This window comes from Homo sapiens, chromosome 2 (genome assembly GCF_000001405.40).
Source record: "Homo sapiens chromosome 2, GRCh38.p14 Primary Assembly".
Lineage (NCBI taxonomy): Eukaryota > Metazoa > Chordata > Mammalia > Primates > Hominidae > Homo > Homo sapiens.
Window position 1 is genome coordinate 108926313 of NC_000002.12, and position 19195 is coordinate 108945507.

At 52.0% G+C, this 19195-nt stretch overlaps 2 protein-coding genes across 3 annotated transcripts in view, besides 1 other annotated feature; one reads left to right on the forward strand and one right to left on the reverse strand.

The window, feature by feature from the left end:
* The window catches only part of RANBP2 (RAN binding protein 2), a 1122820-nt gene that overhangs the window by 206831 nt on the left and 896794 nt on the right, over nucleotides 1-19195 (forward strand). The gene's annotated exons all lie outside the window — the stretch shown is intronic.
* EDAR (ectodysplasin A receptor) overlaps nucleotides 1-19195 on the reverse strand; it is a 94750-nt gene that overhangs the window by 31842 nt on the left and 43713 nt on the right. For both annotated transcript variants that reach the window (NM_022336.4, XM_006712204.2), the window contains exons 2-4: nucleotides 4652-4720; nucleotides 3808-3930; nucleotides 2886-3067 (exon numbers count right to left, since the gene is read on the reverse strand). In NM_022336.4, the coding sequence (NP_071731.1) occupies nucleotides 2886-3067; nucleotides 3808-3930; nucleotides 4652-4702 (356 nt within the window). In that variant the 5' untranslated portion in view covers nucleotides 4703-4720. The remainder of the gene's footprint in view (nucleotides 1-2885; nucleotides 3068-3807; nucleotides 3931-4651; nucleotides 4721-19195) is intronic.
* Nucleotides 2925-3424: an enhancer, noted in NCBI's record as "H3K4me1 hESC enhancer chr2:109545693-109546192 (GRCh37/hg19 assembly coordinates)". NCBI's record gives its function as "activates a minimal SCP1, AML or CMV promoter by ChIP-STARR-seq in naive H9 embryonic stem cells {active_cell/tissue: H9 hESC(naive)}" and the evidence as "EXISTENCE:reporter gene assay evidence [ECO:0000049][PMID:30033119]".

Sequence of the window (19195 nt, forward strand, 5' to 3'; positions counted from 1 at the left end):
TGTTCTACATAGGTTGATTCAGGTGTATAGCCCAGGACAAGAGTCAGTTTAAATGGGTCCCCTGGGATCTGTTGTTTAAGGACTGACTTTCTCTCAGTCAATAGGTGTACATTTTCCCAGAGAGTTCCTTTCTTCAGGACTCTCATGCCTGTAAGGGACGCCGCAGATTCCCAGATGTTCATTTTCCTCCAACCGTGTTGGTGTGCAGAACCAGTGCAGAGTCGCTGTGTCCTGCCCCCTGCCCCCGCCATCCAGAATCGCGGGGTGGTGGAGCTCCTCCGGGGTGAGGCCTGGAGAGGTGAGGAAGCGTAACCTCTCTCTCCCCCTTTCCTCCTGTTTTGGTTCCCAGGTCCTCCCACACAACCTCTCCCAACAGGAAAGCCTCGGGTGCTGCTCATTGTTCAGCAAGTGTCCTGGCCACACTGTGGGGAGGGCGGAGCATCAGGAGAAGCACCTGCCAAACCGCAGGCAGGGGCCTGGGCCCAGGAGAGACTGGGACAAGGCAATCCGCATCCACAGCCTGACAGCCACTTGGATTCAGGAATGAACGCAGCCTTTCATGGAGCTAGTCACACCGGCCTGCCAAGACTCCTGTGATCCTCCTCTGTGACACAGCGTGACAGCCTCGTAAGAGGAAGTGGGGCCTCCAGGGTCCTACCCTGGGGAAGCCTTGTCTGCAGTAGAGGGGGCAGCATGAGCCCCTGAGAGGGGCTGGGATTCGGAGGTGAGGCGGGGGCCTTCAATTTTGGTGGGCGTTGGGACTGGCAGTGAGGCTTTGAGCAGACACAGCACATCATGGAGCCAACCTGGAAACTGTCCCCATCGTCTGCACCCCTGCGGAGCAGTGCGAAGGCACTCTGAGGCACGTGCTGAGGGTGTCTCTGCACAGGGTCCCTTGCCTGCCCAGCAGGTGTGCTGGGCCTTGCTATGTCCTGGGTGCTGAGAGTGGTGTGGACTGAGCAGGTCACTGTCCCATGGAGTAGGGCGGGAGGCATCAAGATTCCAGCACTGGAAAGAATGTTTAAAAGCCCAGAGAGCAGCCTGCCCACTAATTCTGCAGATGGCTGTCCACATTCGCCTGAATTCTTCTAGAGGCAGGGAGCTCACCACCCTTCCAGTGTCCAACTTCTTTAGTAATTACACACTTTCTGGTAAATGTATCAGAACCAAGCACGTGGTCTTCAGGCCATAGAGTCAGCCCTGGCCTTCGGGTACTGATGGACACCTTCTCAGGTCTGAACCGTAGCCAGGCCAGAGCCAGCAGCATAGGTCGGCGAGGTTCCGTGGTGCACCCACCCTCTCCCTGCAGTAGGAATTTGCCCCATGGGGAACCCTTCTACTACAGCGGCCCCCAGCACCCTGAGTGCATAGTGACTTCCCAGCTCTGGATCTCTGCCTGGAGGTTCAGGCCATCTCTGGGTTAGCTATCTAGGTCTGGATGTCCCATAGTCCCCTCAAATTCCACACACACAACCTCTATCCTCCCTCCACCTCCCCACCAAGCACCCTCTTGCTCCTGTCTTCTGCAGCTGACAAATGGCACTATTTCCACATGGCCAGTCATGGAGACACCTGAGTATCCTCTTCTGAATCTCTTTCCCCTTCTGAGTGCCATCTGCACCCCTGGTCAGTGCTGTCTTTCAGGGGGCTCTCAGATTCTTCCTCTCCTCCACCCCCGGTGCCTCTGCTCCAGCCCTCTCCCTGCCCACAGCATCCCTGGCTCAGCAGTCTGCGTGTTGACCTGCATCAGCTTCGAGCGGAAGGCTCAAGTCTTCAGCGGTGGTTTCCAGAGCCTGGTTCCATCTGCTCCCTGCCCTCCTGCCCAGCTTGTCCACACCCCCAGGTGTACAACTCTTGCTCTGGCCACAGGGACCCAATCAGAGCCCCAGGCACTGCCCAGCTGCTCAGCCCTCTGAACTCTGGCGTCGGCATCTCCACTTGCAGGCCTCTGTCCTAGTCCTACTTCTTAGCCTAACTCATCCAGGCATCACCTCCACAAATCTCCCAAGACCTCTGCTGACACTACCTCCCCAGCCATGAGGTGAGAGGTCCTTCTGCAACTCCTAGGACACTCTGAGTGTGCCTTATGCACTAAGCTGTGGTCACCTCCCCCGTCCCCACTGGCCTCATCACTGCCATCACCTCCCTTGTCCCCACCAGCCTCATCACTGCCATCACCTCTCCCACCTGTACCAGCTGTACCAGGGACACCACCACTGCTTTTATCTTTAGTCTCTATTTGTAGCCCTTGCAAAGCATGATGTGTTGTGGCCACTAGGGGGAGGAAGCAGCAATGATCATGGCTCAGGATTTTCTGGGGATTGAGAGTCTGTATTTTCCTGGTCCCTGGCAGAATTTGCTGAGGTGTCATGCCTGGAAAAAGGAAGATTTTATCTTTCTCTCTTTCAGGCTAATTGCATTTTCAGCTTTTTGAAGACTTCTGATGCATAATCATTTTGGAGGGATTATAGGTATCATATGACTCAAATATTTTTATTAGTAGCTTCCCCAGAGTGTTCCCAGGATACTAAAAATGCTGCTTTTGCATGAAATTTTAGTTTTCTTTTTCCCAAAGTGTTTCACATGCGCTACTGCACTGTAAGTATTCAAGCAATTTGTTTCCTTTTGGTGGTCAGAAGATATTATGATGGTTAATGGCCACTTAGGAGACACAGAGGCAGAGCCTGATGGGCTGCCTGTCCACCGGAGGGGCCAGGACTCTCCGTCCTGGATGCTGCTCCTTGTGGGATGGGACCAAGGCCAGGTGTGCGGCTGCACCGAGGCCTGCAGTATCCATGACCCCTGTTCCCAAGGTCCTTGCCCGTAGCCCCTCGGGGTTTTCTGCAGAAAGCATGCCAGGGTTTGCCAGGAGGGCCTGTGCTTACCCAGGGAGGCAAGGGCCACACTCAGCGTCATTCTCCATGTCCCCTGGTGTCAGCACGGTGGCCCGGAAGAAGCCCTCACAGTCTTTGTGACGCCTGCATATCTGGTAGCCTCCTTTGGAAAACTTCTCCGCCGGGCAGGGGACGCAGCCGTAGTCCTCGTCTTTGGTGCCGTAGCCACAGGACTGTCCAGGGAAAGAGGACAGGGGACACAGGTGAGTGCAGCAGCCAAACCATACGGACTCGGCCCACAGTCCTTGGGCAGTGACGTGCCAGCTGTCTCCAGAAGCTACTCTTGCCGGGCCTTGGTTTCCTGAGTTGTCCTAACTGCAAAACCCCCCAGGAACCAGCTCATGCTCTGGGCTTGCCCCTCTCCTCGCCACTCTCAGGCTCCAGATGCTGCCCCTTTTCTGAGCCTCCCCGAGATGAATTCAGCGAGCTGCTGGAATGCCCAGGCAGTGCAGGTAGCACTTGGCATCTGACTTTCCTCAGCTTGCTACAAGAACCGGACACTGAAACCCCGGAGGTTTCCCTTAGTGCTGAACAGAACACTCAGGCTTAGCTTGCCCAGAGGCGGAGGGAGATGCAGCACTCAGGAAAAAATGTACTAGTACTGGAGAATATTTCAATCCTGCTTCCAATCAGATGATCTGACGCTCATTTAATCAGGGTAGAGTGGGAAAGTGATCCTTTAAAAACATTTCAGAACTCCTGAAAAATCTGTTTATGAATGCTTAGCTGGTGAGTGCCATTCCTGGGCTCACGGCAGCTCTTGCCATCAATCTCAACGTCCAGGGAGCGTGACCGGCTGGTTTGATATACCCTGGCATCCCCTCACACAGCAAGGCAGGCTCAGGGCAACAATGCCACAAGCAGGAGGCCTCCCCTGAGAGCGCACCAGGCTCCAGGAGGGCTGGGTCCTTACCAGGTAGGGCTCCTCTCCCGGCCCACACGGGGGGCACTCCTGGCACAGCCCCGTAGTCTGGTTGTAGTACTCGTTCTCACCGCAGTTTGAGTATTCCGCTCGGGCTGAGCACATCAGAGACACCTGCCAACAAAGGGGGGTGTTGTGGCCTCCGTACCTCCTTAGAAACACATGTGACTCCTGCAAGACCCCAAGGTTGACATAGGAAGGGGGTGCCCTGCGGTGGGGGCTCTGCTGGGGGCTCGGTCTGGGAAGGTGCCCGCTTGTGAGTGCTCACTGCTGCTAAGTCTCCAGTGGCTCCTGGTTGATCACCTGGGCACGGCCAGCCCCCACTAGAACCACCCTGCCTCACCCCTGCTGGCCAAGCCCCATCCCACCATCAAGGCCTGCTCTGAGTTCTCCTCATCAACGCACTTGCCAAGGTCATGGAGGAGGCGCCCCTGTCCCCCACTGAGCCTCTAATACAGTGGCTTCTCAGAACACCGGCGTGTCCAGGAGGATGGGGGTAGGGGTCTGAGTCTTCCAAGTCTTTCTTAGCTGCGCGGCCCCCAAGCATGAGCTCATCACATAGACACAGGGCTGTGTGTATCACACCACAAACAAGCAATCAAGAACGTTTATATCCATGAGACCCTATGAAGGGAGCTACCAACGAAATCAATGTAACTTCAGCCTGGGGCAGAGTTCTGTGCTTTGCAGGCCTGGTTTCATTTCACCCTCAGAAGAACCCTGTGGAGGAGGGACTATGATCAGCATTCCCATTTTACAGCTGAAGAGGCCAAGAAACAGTCCAACCATCATGAGGATGAGGGTGCTGTGGGGGTAAGGGGCTCAGACCACTTACCACCAGGACGGGGAGCCAGGGCGTCTGCGTGCAGTCCCCCACATGGGCCATCCTCTCCCAAGGGCTCACCTGAAAGACATGCGTCATTAGCTGGGCACTGGCGGTAGCACCCCAGCCGGGGGTCTGGCTACCTTTATTTAACCCCACTGGATATAAGGTGCCTTCCAGCAAACAGAGGGGAAACTATACATCCTAAAAGAAAAGCAGACATGAAGCTGAAGCTGTACCCATGCCACTTGGGCTGACTCTGGGGCCTTCCCAGCCTCGCAGCCATGCCTGGGAGGGAGCCTGAGAGGAGGCTAGGAGCACACGGAGGGCCCAAGGTTAAACCCGAGGTTAGTGATTGTGTTTCTCGTGCTCAGAGGGTTTGGAGAAACCTAGCCTTACATGAGCTTTAAGTCTGGAGTCCTCCAGGCCAGTCCTGGCCTCTGGGCTCCAGGACTTAGGAGGACCCCTGGAGAGACTGCCAGGAATTAGATTCTGGTCTTTGCCCCTCTGGATGCTCTCCCAGCCCCAGCTTAGTGTTCTTCCCTCTCTCTGTTAAGAACAGGTTGTCCATCAAAGTGGACAAGTCCAATAACCTAACTTTACAGTTGAGATAGTGGGAGCCCAGAGAGGTTAAGTGATTTGCCCCAGGTCACACAGCTACTTAAGGGATTGAAGGGATTGAGCATGGCTGCAGCTGTTCAGGTGTTCAGATACTTTTCACCAACTATTAATATTACACGAATGCATTCCCTTGAAGGAGGAGGTGGGTTTTTTTTTCTTTTTTTTTGCTTGTTTTTTCACTTTCTGAATGGAGACCTGTGTTTCTGACTCAAAGCAATTTTACTTGGTAGTCTGGGTATTAATTAGCCTGGCTCTACAAAGAGAGATAATGTGCTCTAGTGATCGCCTAAATTCCCCAGTGGCTGCACTCTGGTTCACTGTCCTCTTGCCACAACAAAACAGCAAGTACTCTTCTAGATGCTGGGTTGTGTGAGGAACCTTCCAGAATCAACCACTGACACAGCCCAGAAGACCAGCTGGGCCATGGAACCCAAACTCCCTAAGACCTTTCACCCTCAGAATTCTCTCGTCCTTAGCAAGCTACCATTGGTCATGAAAACCAACTAATTCCCAATACCACACACAAAAACACCGTGACGAACATATGCCATGATGCACAGGAACCTTCCCTCCCTTCCTCCTTTTCTTTCTTTCTTTTGGAAAAGTCCTGCAACAGCCTAAAGGCATTAGGTAGAAATTAGCGAAAGATTATTGGAAATAAATTAAGTTGGAGAGGCTGAGCGCGGTGGCTCACACCTGTAATCCCAGCACTTTGGGAGGCTGAGACGGGCGGATCACGAGGTCAGGAGATCCAGACCATCCTGGCTAACAAGGTGAAACCTCGTCTCTACTAAAAATACAAAAAAATTACCCGGGCATGGTGGTGGGCACCTGTAGTCCCAGCTACTCGGGAGGCTGAGGCAGGAGAATGGCATGAACCCGGGAGGCGGAGCTTGCAGTGAGCCGAGATTGTGCCACTGCACTCCAGCCTGGGCGACAGAGTGAGACTCTGTCTCAAAAAAAAAAAAAAAAAAAAAAAAGAAAGAAATTAAGAATTAAGTTGGAGAAGGAGGTGAGAGCTGTGTAAGTCAGCAGCCAGGGAACGGTGGAGAAGAGCAAAAGACCAAGGGCCCTGTCAGTGGGGACTGACATGGACAATCTTCTTTTCCAAATCCCCCAGGACTTAAGGGCTTCTTCACTGAGATTTCTGGAAAGAGAATGGTCCTTTAGGAGATGCACCCAATGCCAAGTACATATGTGTTTTTAACACATAAACCGTGGGGAAAACATTCAAACCATAGCAGCATGGAAATGTCTCTTCCCATCCGAGGCAGACAAGGCTGCTGCTTAACTTGTGGAACTAATCAGTTAACTGGCTGCTAGGGAGCTTCCAGTCTGCAGGCCTTCCAGAGATCCCTGGGGAGCACGCCTGTCCTGCCTCCCGAGTACAACAGCACATGCCCTCGCTCCCGTAGGAAGAGGGTGGGCAGAATCCTGGCAGGGCCTTAAGATGGTACGCTTGTTTATCATTGCAACAAATAAACACCCACAAAAAATCCAAAGGAACTTCAGTTTCCTGGAACACCAAGCAGGGCTGTAACACCTGTTGTTGGGTGAGAAAGAAATGATAGAGAAGAATGCCTCCGGGTGTATTTGTAAAGTTTCTAAATGCATGAAAGCAGGTCTGGAGCGATGCCTGCTGAACTTCCAGCAAAGATTTTTTTGGCAGTAACTGAAATCGGGTGGGGGTGACCAAGGACTGAGGGAGCATTCTGGGGAACATTCACTTTTTATTTTATGCAGGTCTGTATTGTCTGAGTGGTCTAGAAGAGAGAGTATGAATTCTGTGATAAAGGAAAAAGCGTGTGTCCCTGGCTGCTCTAAGAATAGGTGGGAGAAGGGGGTCCCAGGGGAGATCCCAGAGGACAGACCTGACTGGGGTCACTGGCAAAGCACAGCAGTGGTCCTGGGTCTTTCCTTGGGTCTCGGCTGTTGGCCCAGTCACCTTGGAGGTGTCTCACTTGGTGGAGACCTCCAGGTGGCTTTGGGGAAGGAAGAGTTCTGTTTCCAGACCCTCTTGATGAGGTTCAAAAACTGCCTTTTCCCACACACTGCCTGCACTTTAGTGTTGCATTTACCGTTTGGAAAACACTAAATGGACTGAGGCAAGATTGAGGAGCCAGCCACCCCAGTGGTGAACTCGCTGGGTGTTTTCCTTCTAGCAACAGAGCAAGCTGGGGCAGGCAGCGACGGGAGATCGGGGTGGCGGGGAGGCAAGGGCGACCTGCAGCCCGTCAGGTGGGGGAGGGTTGGGTGCAAGCAAAGGCCTGAAGGGGAACTGATAGGAGCCTGTTCCCCCTCCCAGCAGCCCTGGACTTGGCTTCAGGATGGTGGGGTTAGCAGAGATAGGTTTCCACTGAGTCTGTGGATAGGGCCAGAGGCTCTCAGCAGGGCTGGAGGCCTTCCAAGAACCATATGAATGGTTTCTAATTTAATTGACTTCTAATTATAGCTGAGCCTCGGAGGGCTTCCCTGAATAACTGAGAAGGGCTGGGCCTGCCGCACCTTAGTGTCAACCAGGAGCACTTATCGAAAGGCGCAATTAAAACGTTCCCAGGTAAACCCAAGCAGAGAGAAAAGAAAAATAGATACACAAAGCAGAACTAAAAGTCTGTGGCCTTAGATGTGTTTCATTATTGTTACCAATTCTCTGAGAGGGTGAGTGGGGTCTGGGGGAGGGGAGCACAGGGCAGCCTGTGGTTTGGATCCCACTTCTCAGACTGCAGATACAGGCAGGAGGTGGGCCACTGGGCGCTGGGGGGCTGACGGCTCCCAGTCGTGATCTCCTGTTTGTTTTACTTTGGGGATCCCCAATCTCCATCAGTGCCTGGCGATGCTGCTGGGGTATGAGACCAAGGACCTGACTGACGTGGGGCTCCAGCCTCGTGCACACTGAGCTCCCATATTTGTGACAGTGATGGGGAGAGGGAGCACCTGTCTTAGTCTGCTTTGTGCTGCTAGAACAGAATACCACGGACTGGCTAATGAACTGAAGTTTATTTGGGGTTCTGGTTCTGGGAAGTCCAAGAGCGACTGGCTGCATCCGGTGAGAGCCTTCTTTCCATGTCATAATATGGCAGAGGGCATCACATGGTGATAAGAGAGTGCAAGCAGGGCCAATTCACTGTTATAACCAGCCCACTCTCGAGATAACGAACCCACTCCCGCGATGATGACATTAAGTCATTCATGAGGGCAGAGCCTCACGACCTCATCACCTCCCCACCTTTCAAACCTGTTCACTGGGGATTAAGGGATTAAGTTTTTAACACATAAACTGTGGGGAAAACATTCAAACCAAAGCAGCGTGGAAATGTCTCTTCCCACCTGAGGCAGACAAGGCTGCTGCTTAACTTGTGGAACTAACCAGTTAATTGGCTAGTGATCCAGTTCAGGGGTTGTGAAGCCAGTCGCCACCCAGCAGGTTCTGTGAACACACTCTTTTGGAGTCAAGCGTCACCTGTTGGTTACCTAGTGCCTGTAGGCATTTCATGATATAAGAGACCGCATGACCAGGTAAGTCTAGAATATCTCAAATCTGGCGCTTTACGGAAAAGGTCTGCCACTCCTGCCTGAATTAACAGCTTCTCTTCCCCGACCTGCTCTCTCTTCCTCTGCCTTTGGCCCTTCCTTCCTCAATTCCCATCTAGAATGATGACACAGCTGTAATCACATCAGCTTATGACTACTGAGCTCAGACCCCAGCCAGGCACTACCATGGCTTAATCCTCACCATTGCCACTTTGTTGCTCAAAGTGGGGCCCCTGGACCAGCAGCATTAGCATCAGCTGGGAGCTCATTAGAAATGCAGAATCTCAGCCCCGCCCAGACCTGCTGTCTGGGATCTGCTTTTCAACCAGATCTGCAGGTGGTCTGTGTGCACATTAAAGTTTGAGAAGCACTGGTCTAGACGATCTCCTAGCAACATCTTGCTGAGGTGGGGAGAGAATGTTTAATGTTTAATTAATGTTTAATTCCTTCTGGGAGCCCAGGAAGAAAGCCTTGGCTGGGTCTCTCCCTCTTTAAGTTCTGGCCTTCTTCCAAAGAACAAATGCCGTCATTAGCACCCCTTTTCACACACACACACACGCAGACTCTGCACTAGACACCGATTCCCTTAATCTTGTTAGAGTTCATTCATTTATTCAACAAAGAGCTGTGGAGCTGCTACTATGTGGCAATCTTATAGGCCCTAAGGACGGTGCCAGACAGATAGGGTCCCTGCTCTATTGGGCCTTTATCTGTCCAGGGAGCCAGACATGGAAGACATCATTATATACAAGTTTGGCCCCCTTTCCTAGCCGTCCTCCCCTAGACTCAGTCTCCTCTCTGAGCTGCTCGCCTCTTGGAATGGCCTTCACCCTTGGTGGTGTGGCTTTGACTGTCTATACTTGTCATCACGGCTGCCTCCAGAGCACAGACAGTGCCCACTGCAGGAAGAAGGTGGCCGTCCTCCCTACTGGTCACCACCTTTAGGAGAAGCAGAGTCACTGCCTCGGCTGGCAGATGGTCCAGCCTCCGGGACTTCCCATTCTTCCACCCAGTTGGGCCCCCCTTGACTGTGACGGTGCTACCTCTTCCAAAAGCTTCTCCCTGAAAGGGCCACACCTCATATCTGTGGGAAGCAGCTGAGGCCAGGTGGCTGTGGGAAGCCTTGGCAGGCCTGATGGTTCGGAGTTACCTTTTAAAGTCTGTAGGACGGATGTCCCTTTTGTCTGTGGCCCCTCCAGCGTGCTTACCTGGCCTGGCCCAGCAGGGCTTGCCACGCCTGGGTTGACCGCATCACGGACAGGGAGGGGAGAGGCTGTGGCTGGCCCACTCAGCTCCATGGGCACAAGCTCTTCCATGGCGGGAGGCAAGGTGCTGGCAACTGCCTGTGTCTGGGAGGCAGCCACAGAGCTGGCTGCGGGCTCCCTGCCCACCCAGCGCTACTCTCCTTCCCCGGCCTCCCACGCTCTCCTTCCTCCAGGAAGACCCAAGGGGAGGCTGCTGGTGGCCTCCTCCCCACACCCAGCAGGATTCAGTACTCCCCCGCCTCCCTGAAGCCCCCACTTCCCATCAACCCAGACAGACCTCCCTTCCCTGTAGGGAGCCCGCAAGGTCACCATCAGAGCAGCTGAAAACACTTCCATTTGATGTGATTTACAGCTCTGAATCTTCCCTGTCTCAGCTGAGTAGTGCTAATTAATATTAGATTGGGAGGAGAGGGATGCATTCTCTTTCCACTTCTGCTTTAGTCGGATCTGTTTCACCGGAGCAGGAGGAAAGCAGAGAAGGTAGCCTGGGAGTCCCTCCTGCCCCATGCAGCACTTAGTGTCCTGCTGGCCTTGCCAGCCTGAAGTCCTCAGTGATTTCTGACCCATTTCCATTTTGCACTGGGTCCCACAAATTAAATAGCCGGTCCTGTTCCCAGCCTCTCTGGCCAGGCAGGGGAGGCCCCCCACAGTGCTGTGCCGGGGAACAGACACGCAGAGCACAGGCCAAACGTCTTGGCAAGACCACAGGCACCGTCCTTCCCAAGGCTGGAGTGGAGGGTGACGCTGAAACAGAAGTGACTGGCAACAGAGCACACTGGCGGGCCCCAGAGTTTCAAACAGCATCACATGGGGGTTTATAAGCAGCCACTCTTCTTTATCACTGCACTGAAAATCTTTCATTTGCAAACTCCCTGGTGAAGATTTCAGGGCTATGAGGGGCAAACTGACCTTTGGCAGCCCCTCAAAGGGGTGGGCTGTGTCCCTGCATTCTCTCAGGCCCTAAGTGTCTCAAGGGTGTTGCCCACCCCAAACATATGGGTGTGAGTGTGTGCATACACGTGAGTGTATGTGTATCTGTGAGCACCTATGTGTGAGTGTATGTATTGTATATGTGAGGATGTGTGTATGCATGTGTATATGTGAGTGTGTGCATAAGAGTATGTGTATGTGTATGAATGTATGCATGTGTAAGTGTAGGTGAGTGTATGTGTGTGAGTGTGTGAATGTTATGTGTGTGTGTATGCTTATGTGTAAGTGTATTTGTATATGAGTGTGTGTATATGTGTGTGAGTGTCTGTATGTTTATGTTTGTGTGTGTATATGTGTATGTTTATATGTGTGAGTATAAGTGTATGTGATGTGTATGTGTGTGAGTGTATGTGTGTGTATGTGTGTGTGTATCTGTGTATGAGTGTATGCATATGAATGTATGTGTGTGAATGTATGTGTGTGTATGTGGCAAACCCAGACAGGCCCCATGCACAGTGGACCTGCGGGGAGAGGCACAGATGAGGGCAAACCAAATGGCCCTGAGCCCTCGGGTGGGGCCTTCCCAAAAGACGTGGACAGAGGTAGGTTTGAGTTGAAAGTTTAAAATCCAAGTTCCCAAGTTTCCTTTGTTAATTTGAATTGAGATAATACTCAGAAAACAGATATTCTTGCACACGTAGAATAATAAATATAATGCATGAAACACTTATTTACTTCTAGATTTTCTTTTGAAGGATCACTACTAATACAAATAAGCATGTCCAATTCTTCAGAACTCTCTGTGCATCACTGAATCTTCAGCAGAACCCACAGAGGCAGGAAGAGCATGGAAAATCAGTATTTTGGACACATCTGTTCACATCTCATCTTTCTATTTGACTCAACTTTTTCCGCTAGTCTTTATTTTCCTACATATAAACCAGTGACGATGATAATTTCTGAAGTGCAGTAAACAGTCGTGGCCTAAAAACATTTCTGAACACCAACATGGTTATTGCTGCTTGTCAGACTAGGTTTGGGCTTCTCAGAATGCTAATTATGTTATGAAGCAGGTGTGTGTGCACTTGTACACAGAACTGGGGCTGGCGTCCCAAAGAGGAAGGAAGCTCTCTCTGCATTTCCCGCAGTTTGTGGTGCTCGGGTGCTCTGCACTCTTGGAGGATTGCTCACGAAAATAACGTGGCTTGCAAATATCCATGCAGAAGTTCAGAGGGAGAGCACTTATCCTCATCCCAATGTCCTGCTGTAAAGATATGTGTTCACAATTTCATTTCTGTTTCATTGAATGCCTCAGAGCTGAAAGGATCTTGTCGAACTGACAAGCTTGGAGAAGTTTTGAAAAAAAAAATCCCTACTTTTTTGCCTTATCAAAATTGAGGGAAAGCATTTTCAGGGTGAAATCAGAAAAGTTATCATAACTAACACATTGCTTTAAATTACAAAATGCAAGTTTTTCTAGGACTTCTTCCCCCCCCGCCCCACCCCCCAGAGTCTTGCTCTGTAGCCCAGGCTGGCAGTGGCATGATCTTGGCTCACTGCAACCTCCACCTCCTGGGTTCAAGCAATTCTCCTGCCTCAGCCTCTCGAGTAGCTGCGACTACAGGCACCCGCCACCACATCCAACTAATTTTTGTATTTTTATTAGAGACGGGGTTTCACCATGTTGGTCAGGCTGGTCTCGAACTCCTGACCTCATGATCTGCCCACCTCAGCCTCCCAAAGTGCTGGGATTACAGGCATGAGCCACCGTGCCTGGCCACTCTAGGACTCTTATATAAGCATAGTAACATGAAGTTTTGTTGAAACATGATAGGAGCCACTCTTCAGCACTTTAATACACATGCCACTCATCCTTCCATTTGTTGTTGTTGTTTTTGAGATGGAGTCTTGCTCTGTCACCCAGGCTACAGTGTAGTGGCACGATCTCAGCTCACTGCAACCTCCGCAACCTCCGCCTCCCAGGTTCCAGTGATTCTCCTGCCTCAGCCTCCGTAGTAGCTGGGACTACAGGCGTGCGCCACCACACTTGGCTAATTTTTGTATTTGTAGTAGAGATGGGGTTTCACCATGTTGGCAAGGCTGGTCTTGAACTCCTGACTTCAAGTGTCTAGTGCAGAGTATGCGTATGTGAAAATGGGTGCTAATGACAGATTACCAGGTGGGGAGGTCAGGAGGACTGTCCCAAGTCCCAAGAAGAGATGATGGCTAAGAGTTAGCCAGGAATCACAATGGAAAAGTAGAGAGAGAGGGAACAGTGTGGGTGAGGGCTGGGAGGAGGAGAACATGTCCCGTTAGGAAGTGCAGTCACAGTGTATCCCCTGTAAGGCCATTGCTATACCCTCTTCTCTCAGCAATAGATGAATGAGTTATTTGCTTAACTGCATTCTGATAAAACCAAGAACTCTTTCTTGTTTTCTGCCAATGGGCTACTGTGCTGGGTCCTCCCTCAGCTCTTGTCCTCATTTCTTTGCTCTCATCAGCTCAGAGATATTTGGAAAGCAATACTTTCAGCCTGCCCTGCCTCCCCCAGACCCAGCCATTCCTGTTGGATCTGGACTCCACTAGAGAACAGAAAGTTGGCACCTTAAAGTATTTGTGGTGTGATGGAGACGAGGCCTCCTGCATGAACGTGTCTCAGTGACGCTGATTCTGCTTCACAACAAAAGCAAAACAAGAACGTAATCCTTAATCATTGAAAGACACGCTACTAGAATCCCAAGCTATGTCAGCCAGACAGAAGACATCAATTTGACTGAGACGATAGCCTCTAAGTTAAGGAAGTTGAAGAATATGAACCATTTATTGGCACCAGGATCAATAGAGTCTAAAATAGCACAGAGCTGCCGCAGGCAATGACGTGAAGAGGCGGTAAAGATGACTGCCATTATTACGTGTCCCGAGGGCCTGCAGAGGGCTTGCTGCTCCTCTCAGGCTGGCTATTGTAGGTAATGCAGAAGGTGCCCACATGGGTGGTGGAGGCTGAGCCTCCCAGGATGGCTCGGATGGTCTGAAGGGGAAGGTGCAGGGAGGGAGGACGTATGGGGGCTGGCAAAGCACGTGTGGCTCCTCCATGGCCGAGCCGGCCCACGTGCCTCCTACTCTGCAGCCCTTGCCTCCCACTCCCCACCTCAGCTGCCCCTTTGAAGCCACTATGAGCCCAGGGAGTAGTGGGAATCTCAGTGCGTGGCCCATGTACTCTGGGCTCCCCTGGGCCATGCCTGAGCCCCAGATCGGGCGGAGGTGAGAGCAGCCAGGCTCTCTGCTCCTCCTCTGTATCAAGCATCCAGTGCCGTCGTCACACAATGTGAATGTGGAGTCACGTGTAGAATAACAAAGAAGCAGCTTCTGAGCAAAGACCAAGCGCAATTACAACACGTCACACCACGCGATGACGTGGGTCTGAACGGGGCAGGCTTCCAGGGGCAACAGTGCAAAATGATGAGAGTGGTGTTCTCAGACTCTGCATGTTCCCCAAGAACCTACAAGTTGATGTCCTGATTAGTGGCACAGATTTTTGTATTCTTATTGCTCAGATGATAGTTTTAAAACTAATCACGTTTATTGAGTTGTAATTAACTTGCAATAAGCTTCACATTTTCCAGTTACAGGTGGGAGACTTTGATAACGTATATACACCCCCTGTGGCTTGATACAGAGCCCATCTCTTCCAGAGCATCTCTTGCGCCCTTGATCATCAATCTGCCCCACGCTGGGCTGTCACCGGTCATCACTATAAATTTAAACCGATTTTGCCTGTTCTAGATCTTCATATACATGGAATCGGGCAGCTGGTTTCTTTCACTGAATATAATACCTGTGATGCGTCTGCGTTGTGGGAATTAGGACTTTAGTCCTTTTTATTGCCGAATCGTATTCCACTGCATTCGTAAACCACAATGTTTCTCCATTTGCCCATTCCATTTGTTTTTGCTAAGACTACATTTGCAAAATGGTTTTTGGTTGTTTTCTGGGCCTGGGCAGTCCTGACCTTGCTTTTGATGTCGGTGACTCAAACGTGAGGCAGGTTCCCAAAGGGGCTGCCCCTGGCTTTTGTCTGAATCTGCTCTGGCCAGAGGAGAGTCCTGGTAGCTCACAGCCTTCCTCCCAGTCACCAGGGCAAGGCGGAGGCACTGAGCTTCCAAACAGCTTCCCCTGAGCTGTTCCCTTTGAGGGGCTTCCTGGCGACCCTTCCTGACCAGCTGGCAGCTGCCATGGGTAACTTACACTCAGCTCTGAGGGTCCTCTGCACCAGCTGGGGGCATGGCCAACAGGGAAGAGTAGAAGGAGAAGAAAAACGATCTCCTTGGCCCAGAGGCACCCAGGGACTAGTTCTCAACAAGTCACTTCCAAAAGATGGTGTCTTACAACAACCTGACTGCCATTATAAATAATCACCCTCAACCCAAGCCTTCTCTCCTAGGATGTGTATTATGCTCGCACACAGAATTGGCTCAGAGGAGAAGCAAACAGCCCATGTGTGAGGCCCTCACTACGCAAGGGCACTTCTGCCCTGGTCCCAGCAGCCTCTTCCCAGCCTCAGTGAACGTGTATGCCCAAGGAGGCCAGTGCCCGACAGCAGGTGGGAGCTTATCAGGTCACAGCTGACAAAGCTCTGCTGCACAGAGAGGCCTGTCCATGCCACGGTTCCCTGCTGGCTGGGGAAGGTGGCTGCCTTTCAGGTGCCCCTTGTGTGATGGAAACTCCACAGGTGCCTCAGAGAAAGTTCGCTGGGCTTCTTCCGGAACCTGTGTTTGGAAGTGGACCTGCAGGTGTGTGTGCTGGGGGCAGAGGCCCCATCTCTCAGCCTGCTGAGCATATTCGTGAAGGGCCTATCCAGCGCCAGACGTGTCACTAAACCTCCCCAGCATTGCAAGGGAGGCACTCACTACTCCCCACATAACACATGGAGTCAATGGCGGCTCAGAGAGGGTGAGCGACTTGCTAAGGTCACACAGACAGAGGTGGGAGAGCCGAGGCACAATGCCGGATCTACTCAACTTTCGACACTTCTACACAGCTTTGGGAACAGAGGTCTGGGAGCCAAGAGAAAGGCTGGCGATGGCTGGGGCTGAGGGGAGGAAGGGCTCCAAGCGAGTCAAGGGGCCTGGGCGTGGATGCATGGACTTGGTTTCATCCCACCCCTGTGGACCTGTGGCAGTTGGCAAGTTCCCGGGGAGGCCAGGTGAACCACGATGAACCACGGCGACGGCAGGGGCCAGCGTCCCCGTCTCCCTCCCGTTCTAGAAGACATAAATGGTGCCTTCATTTTGTGAGTCTGCGCTGAGTGAGGCCGTGAGGCGGGCGGTTCCGCCACCTGCTTTCCACGCCAGAGGCCTTTCAAGACGGCGGGAGCCCTGCGGTTCCAGCGCGTTCCTGTTCCCGCCTCTCCTTTTACCACGAAGCCAGCTTCGCTCCCAGGCACCACCCTGGCCATCTGGACTCTCACGAAGGTTCGTGCCCTGAGAACTTCAGGAGGAGGCGCGCTAAGAAAACTCAACAGCAGCAACAAAAACATTTTCAGGCTCCCAGTCTTTTAAGTTTGAGCGGGTAGGATTTTTGTTTGTTTGTTTGTTTTGAACGATTCAATAGATGGATTTTCTCCCTGCTCCTAATCCTGGGATTAGACCATGCCTTCCCGGCCCCTTCGCTGACGTGCAGGTAACCCGGCACAGATGGCGTTTCACCGGGCAGGTGACCCGCATGGTGCAGGGCTATAAATAACCATTACATGTCCCTTTCAGAGTGGGCTTTTTTTCCCTCCCTTACATTCGAGTCCCAGCATGAAGCAAAGAACTCATAAATTTGGATCCTTCCTGTCAAACTCAGGGTCTTGTTCTACCGGTTTGAAAGAGAATTCGTTTCTTCGTCATTCTCTTTTCAAGTACAGTAACGGGAAGGCCTTGAGAAGGGCAAGCTCAGCAGAGGTACCTAGCTAGAGCACCTGAGACGGGTCTGCTCCGACTCCAAAGGGCTCTGCTGCACCCTGGGAGAAACAGAGGGGAGGCTTTCTATCCCTCAGAGCTTGGGGATCAGAGTAAAACCTTTCATTTCTGGCTCACCTCATTCTTTATATAGTTAAATTATGTATGAATGGGATACAGATTAAACTGCAATCACACCGTATTCATCTCTCTACCCTGTGCCTTTTTTCCAAGGTGAAAGAGCTGATGTTACTACCGAAGCCCTGGACAAACTTTTTGAAAAAGAGATTGCTGGGGCAGGTGGTGACTAGTCCGAATTATCCAGAACCAGTGTGACATGGGGCAGTCACCACGGGCTTGGGAGGACTCACTTCCGAGCACAACAGAATGTCCAGAGCGAAGACTCCGCGTATTTTCCGTGGCCTGGTGTGTTGAGTAACAGCAGCCATCCTTTCTTGGCTCTTTCTTGGTGGCTGGTGTCTGCTCTCCAGTTTGGGGGAGATGAATCCATGGGGCTGAGCACCCCTCCTTTCTCCAGGATGCTCTGTGTTGCTCCGCAGCACACCTCAGGCTGGGGCAGAGGGCTGGATGCCAGCCCGGGGCTGAGCAGAGACTAGAATTCCTCTGAGCCTATAACCTTGCATACCATTTCCACCCACTGCACCTCAGTTACGTTGCTTCCAAAACAGGGAGACAGGTTTTCCTGCTCACTCATTTCTCAGAGGGTAAACTGAGGTGAATGCATGTGGAAGTGTTTTGAATGTAAAAGGCTTGATGTAGATTGTGGTTTCTCAGGAATGTACACAGGCAATTGCTATCCAGCCACGTAGGAGCAAACACTCTGTTCCTGTTTCTGTCTCTGTTCGGCAGGAATGGTATATTCTTTTTTTTGAGACAGAGTCTCGCTCTGTCAGCCAGGCTGGAGTGCAGTGGCACGATCTCGGCTCACTGCAACCTCTGCCTCCTGGGCTCAGGCAATTCTCCTGCCTCAGTCTCCCAAGTAGCTGGGATTACAGGGCTGTACCAACATGCCTGGCAAATTTTTGTATTTTTAGTAGAGACGGGGTTTCACCATGTTGGCGGGGCTGGTCCTGAACTCCTGACCTCAGGTAATCCACCCGCCTTGGCCTCCCAAAGTGCTGGGATTACAGGCGTGAACCACCGTGCCCGGCCCAGGAATGGTATATTCTTTCAGATAATTTAAAATAGTTTGACTATGGCTGCGGCAACAATGGCCATGGAGCCAATGCTGTTGCCTCTAACCTCATGGGGCTGTTAATCTGGCTGTGGGTGAAGCAGGCTCTCCTGGATTGATAATGGGCTCCTTCACAAGCAGACCTGGCCCACATTCCTGCCCTCAGCAGACCTTACGAAGCCCTGCTGGGCTAAGTGCCAGGGTGGGGGATAGGGTGGGCAAAGGCAGCAAAACAAGGAGAGGCCCTGGGTCCTGGTGTCTGGGCCTGGGAGGGAGGGGCTGCAGCACCCCCACCGTGCAGAGGAGGGAGCTGTGGCACAGAGCCGGTCCCAGACCTTCCTGAGGTCACAGAGTCAAGGGAGAAGGCTGAGCCAGAGAGCTGACCGCAGAGGCCAAGCTTCTAATCCCAGGCCAGGAGCTATGGTCGCCGCCACCTGCAGGTCCCAGAGGAACTGACGCCGGGGAGGTGCTTTGAGCCCTTTGACATGAGCAGAAGGCCTAGGGTGTCCCTGCTTGGATGTTTCCCGTGGTGCAAAGGGCAAGGTTTCAGTGATCACCGTATTATACCAGCCTGGTGATTTGAAAAAGTTGCCCCCTGCTGTCTGGCTTGCATTGTACAGTCTGGTGCTTTCTGCCCTTGAATGCGCAAAGGAGTTGTGACTATGTATGTGGGCGCTGCCTGTCCGTGAGGCAGCTCAGGAAGCTCGATCCTGTGTGGGGAGCAACAGCTATAGGGCACTCAGCCAAGCCCAGCTTGGGTGGGGGCGAGCTCCCCGTCCTGGGGCACTGTATATTCCAGGGGCCAATGGGATGCTATGCCACTGAGTCCAAGCATGTAATCTTTAAAGACATCTTTTATTAGGTGTTTCATTACACATTTCACTACTCCAGCAGTTCCAAGGCCATTTATTTATTTATCCCCATGCCAAGAGCCCCCAAGCAACGCCAAGGCATTTGGAACTAGAGTATGCTGGTACTAAAATAAAATTAAAACCTGTTTTAAAGCCTTGAGACTTACTAATTTATTAAATTACTAAAAGGGGCAATGTCTCTGGGTCTTAAGAGGAGCCAG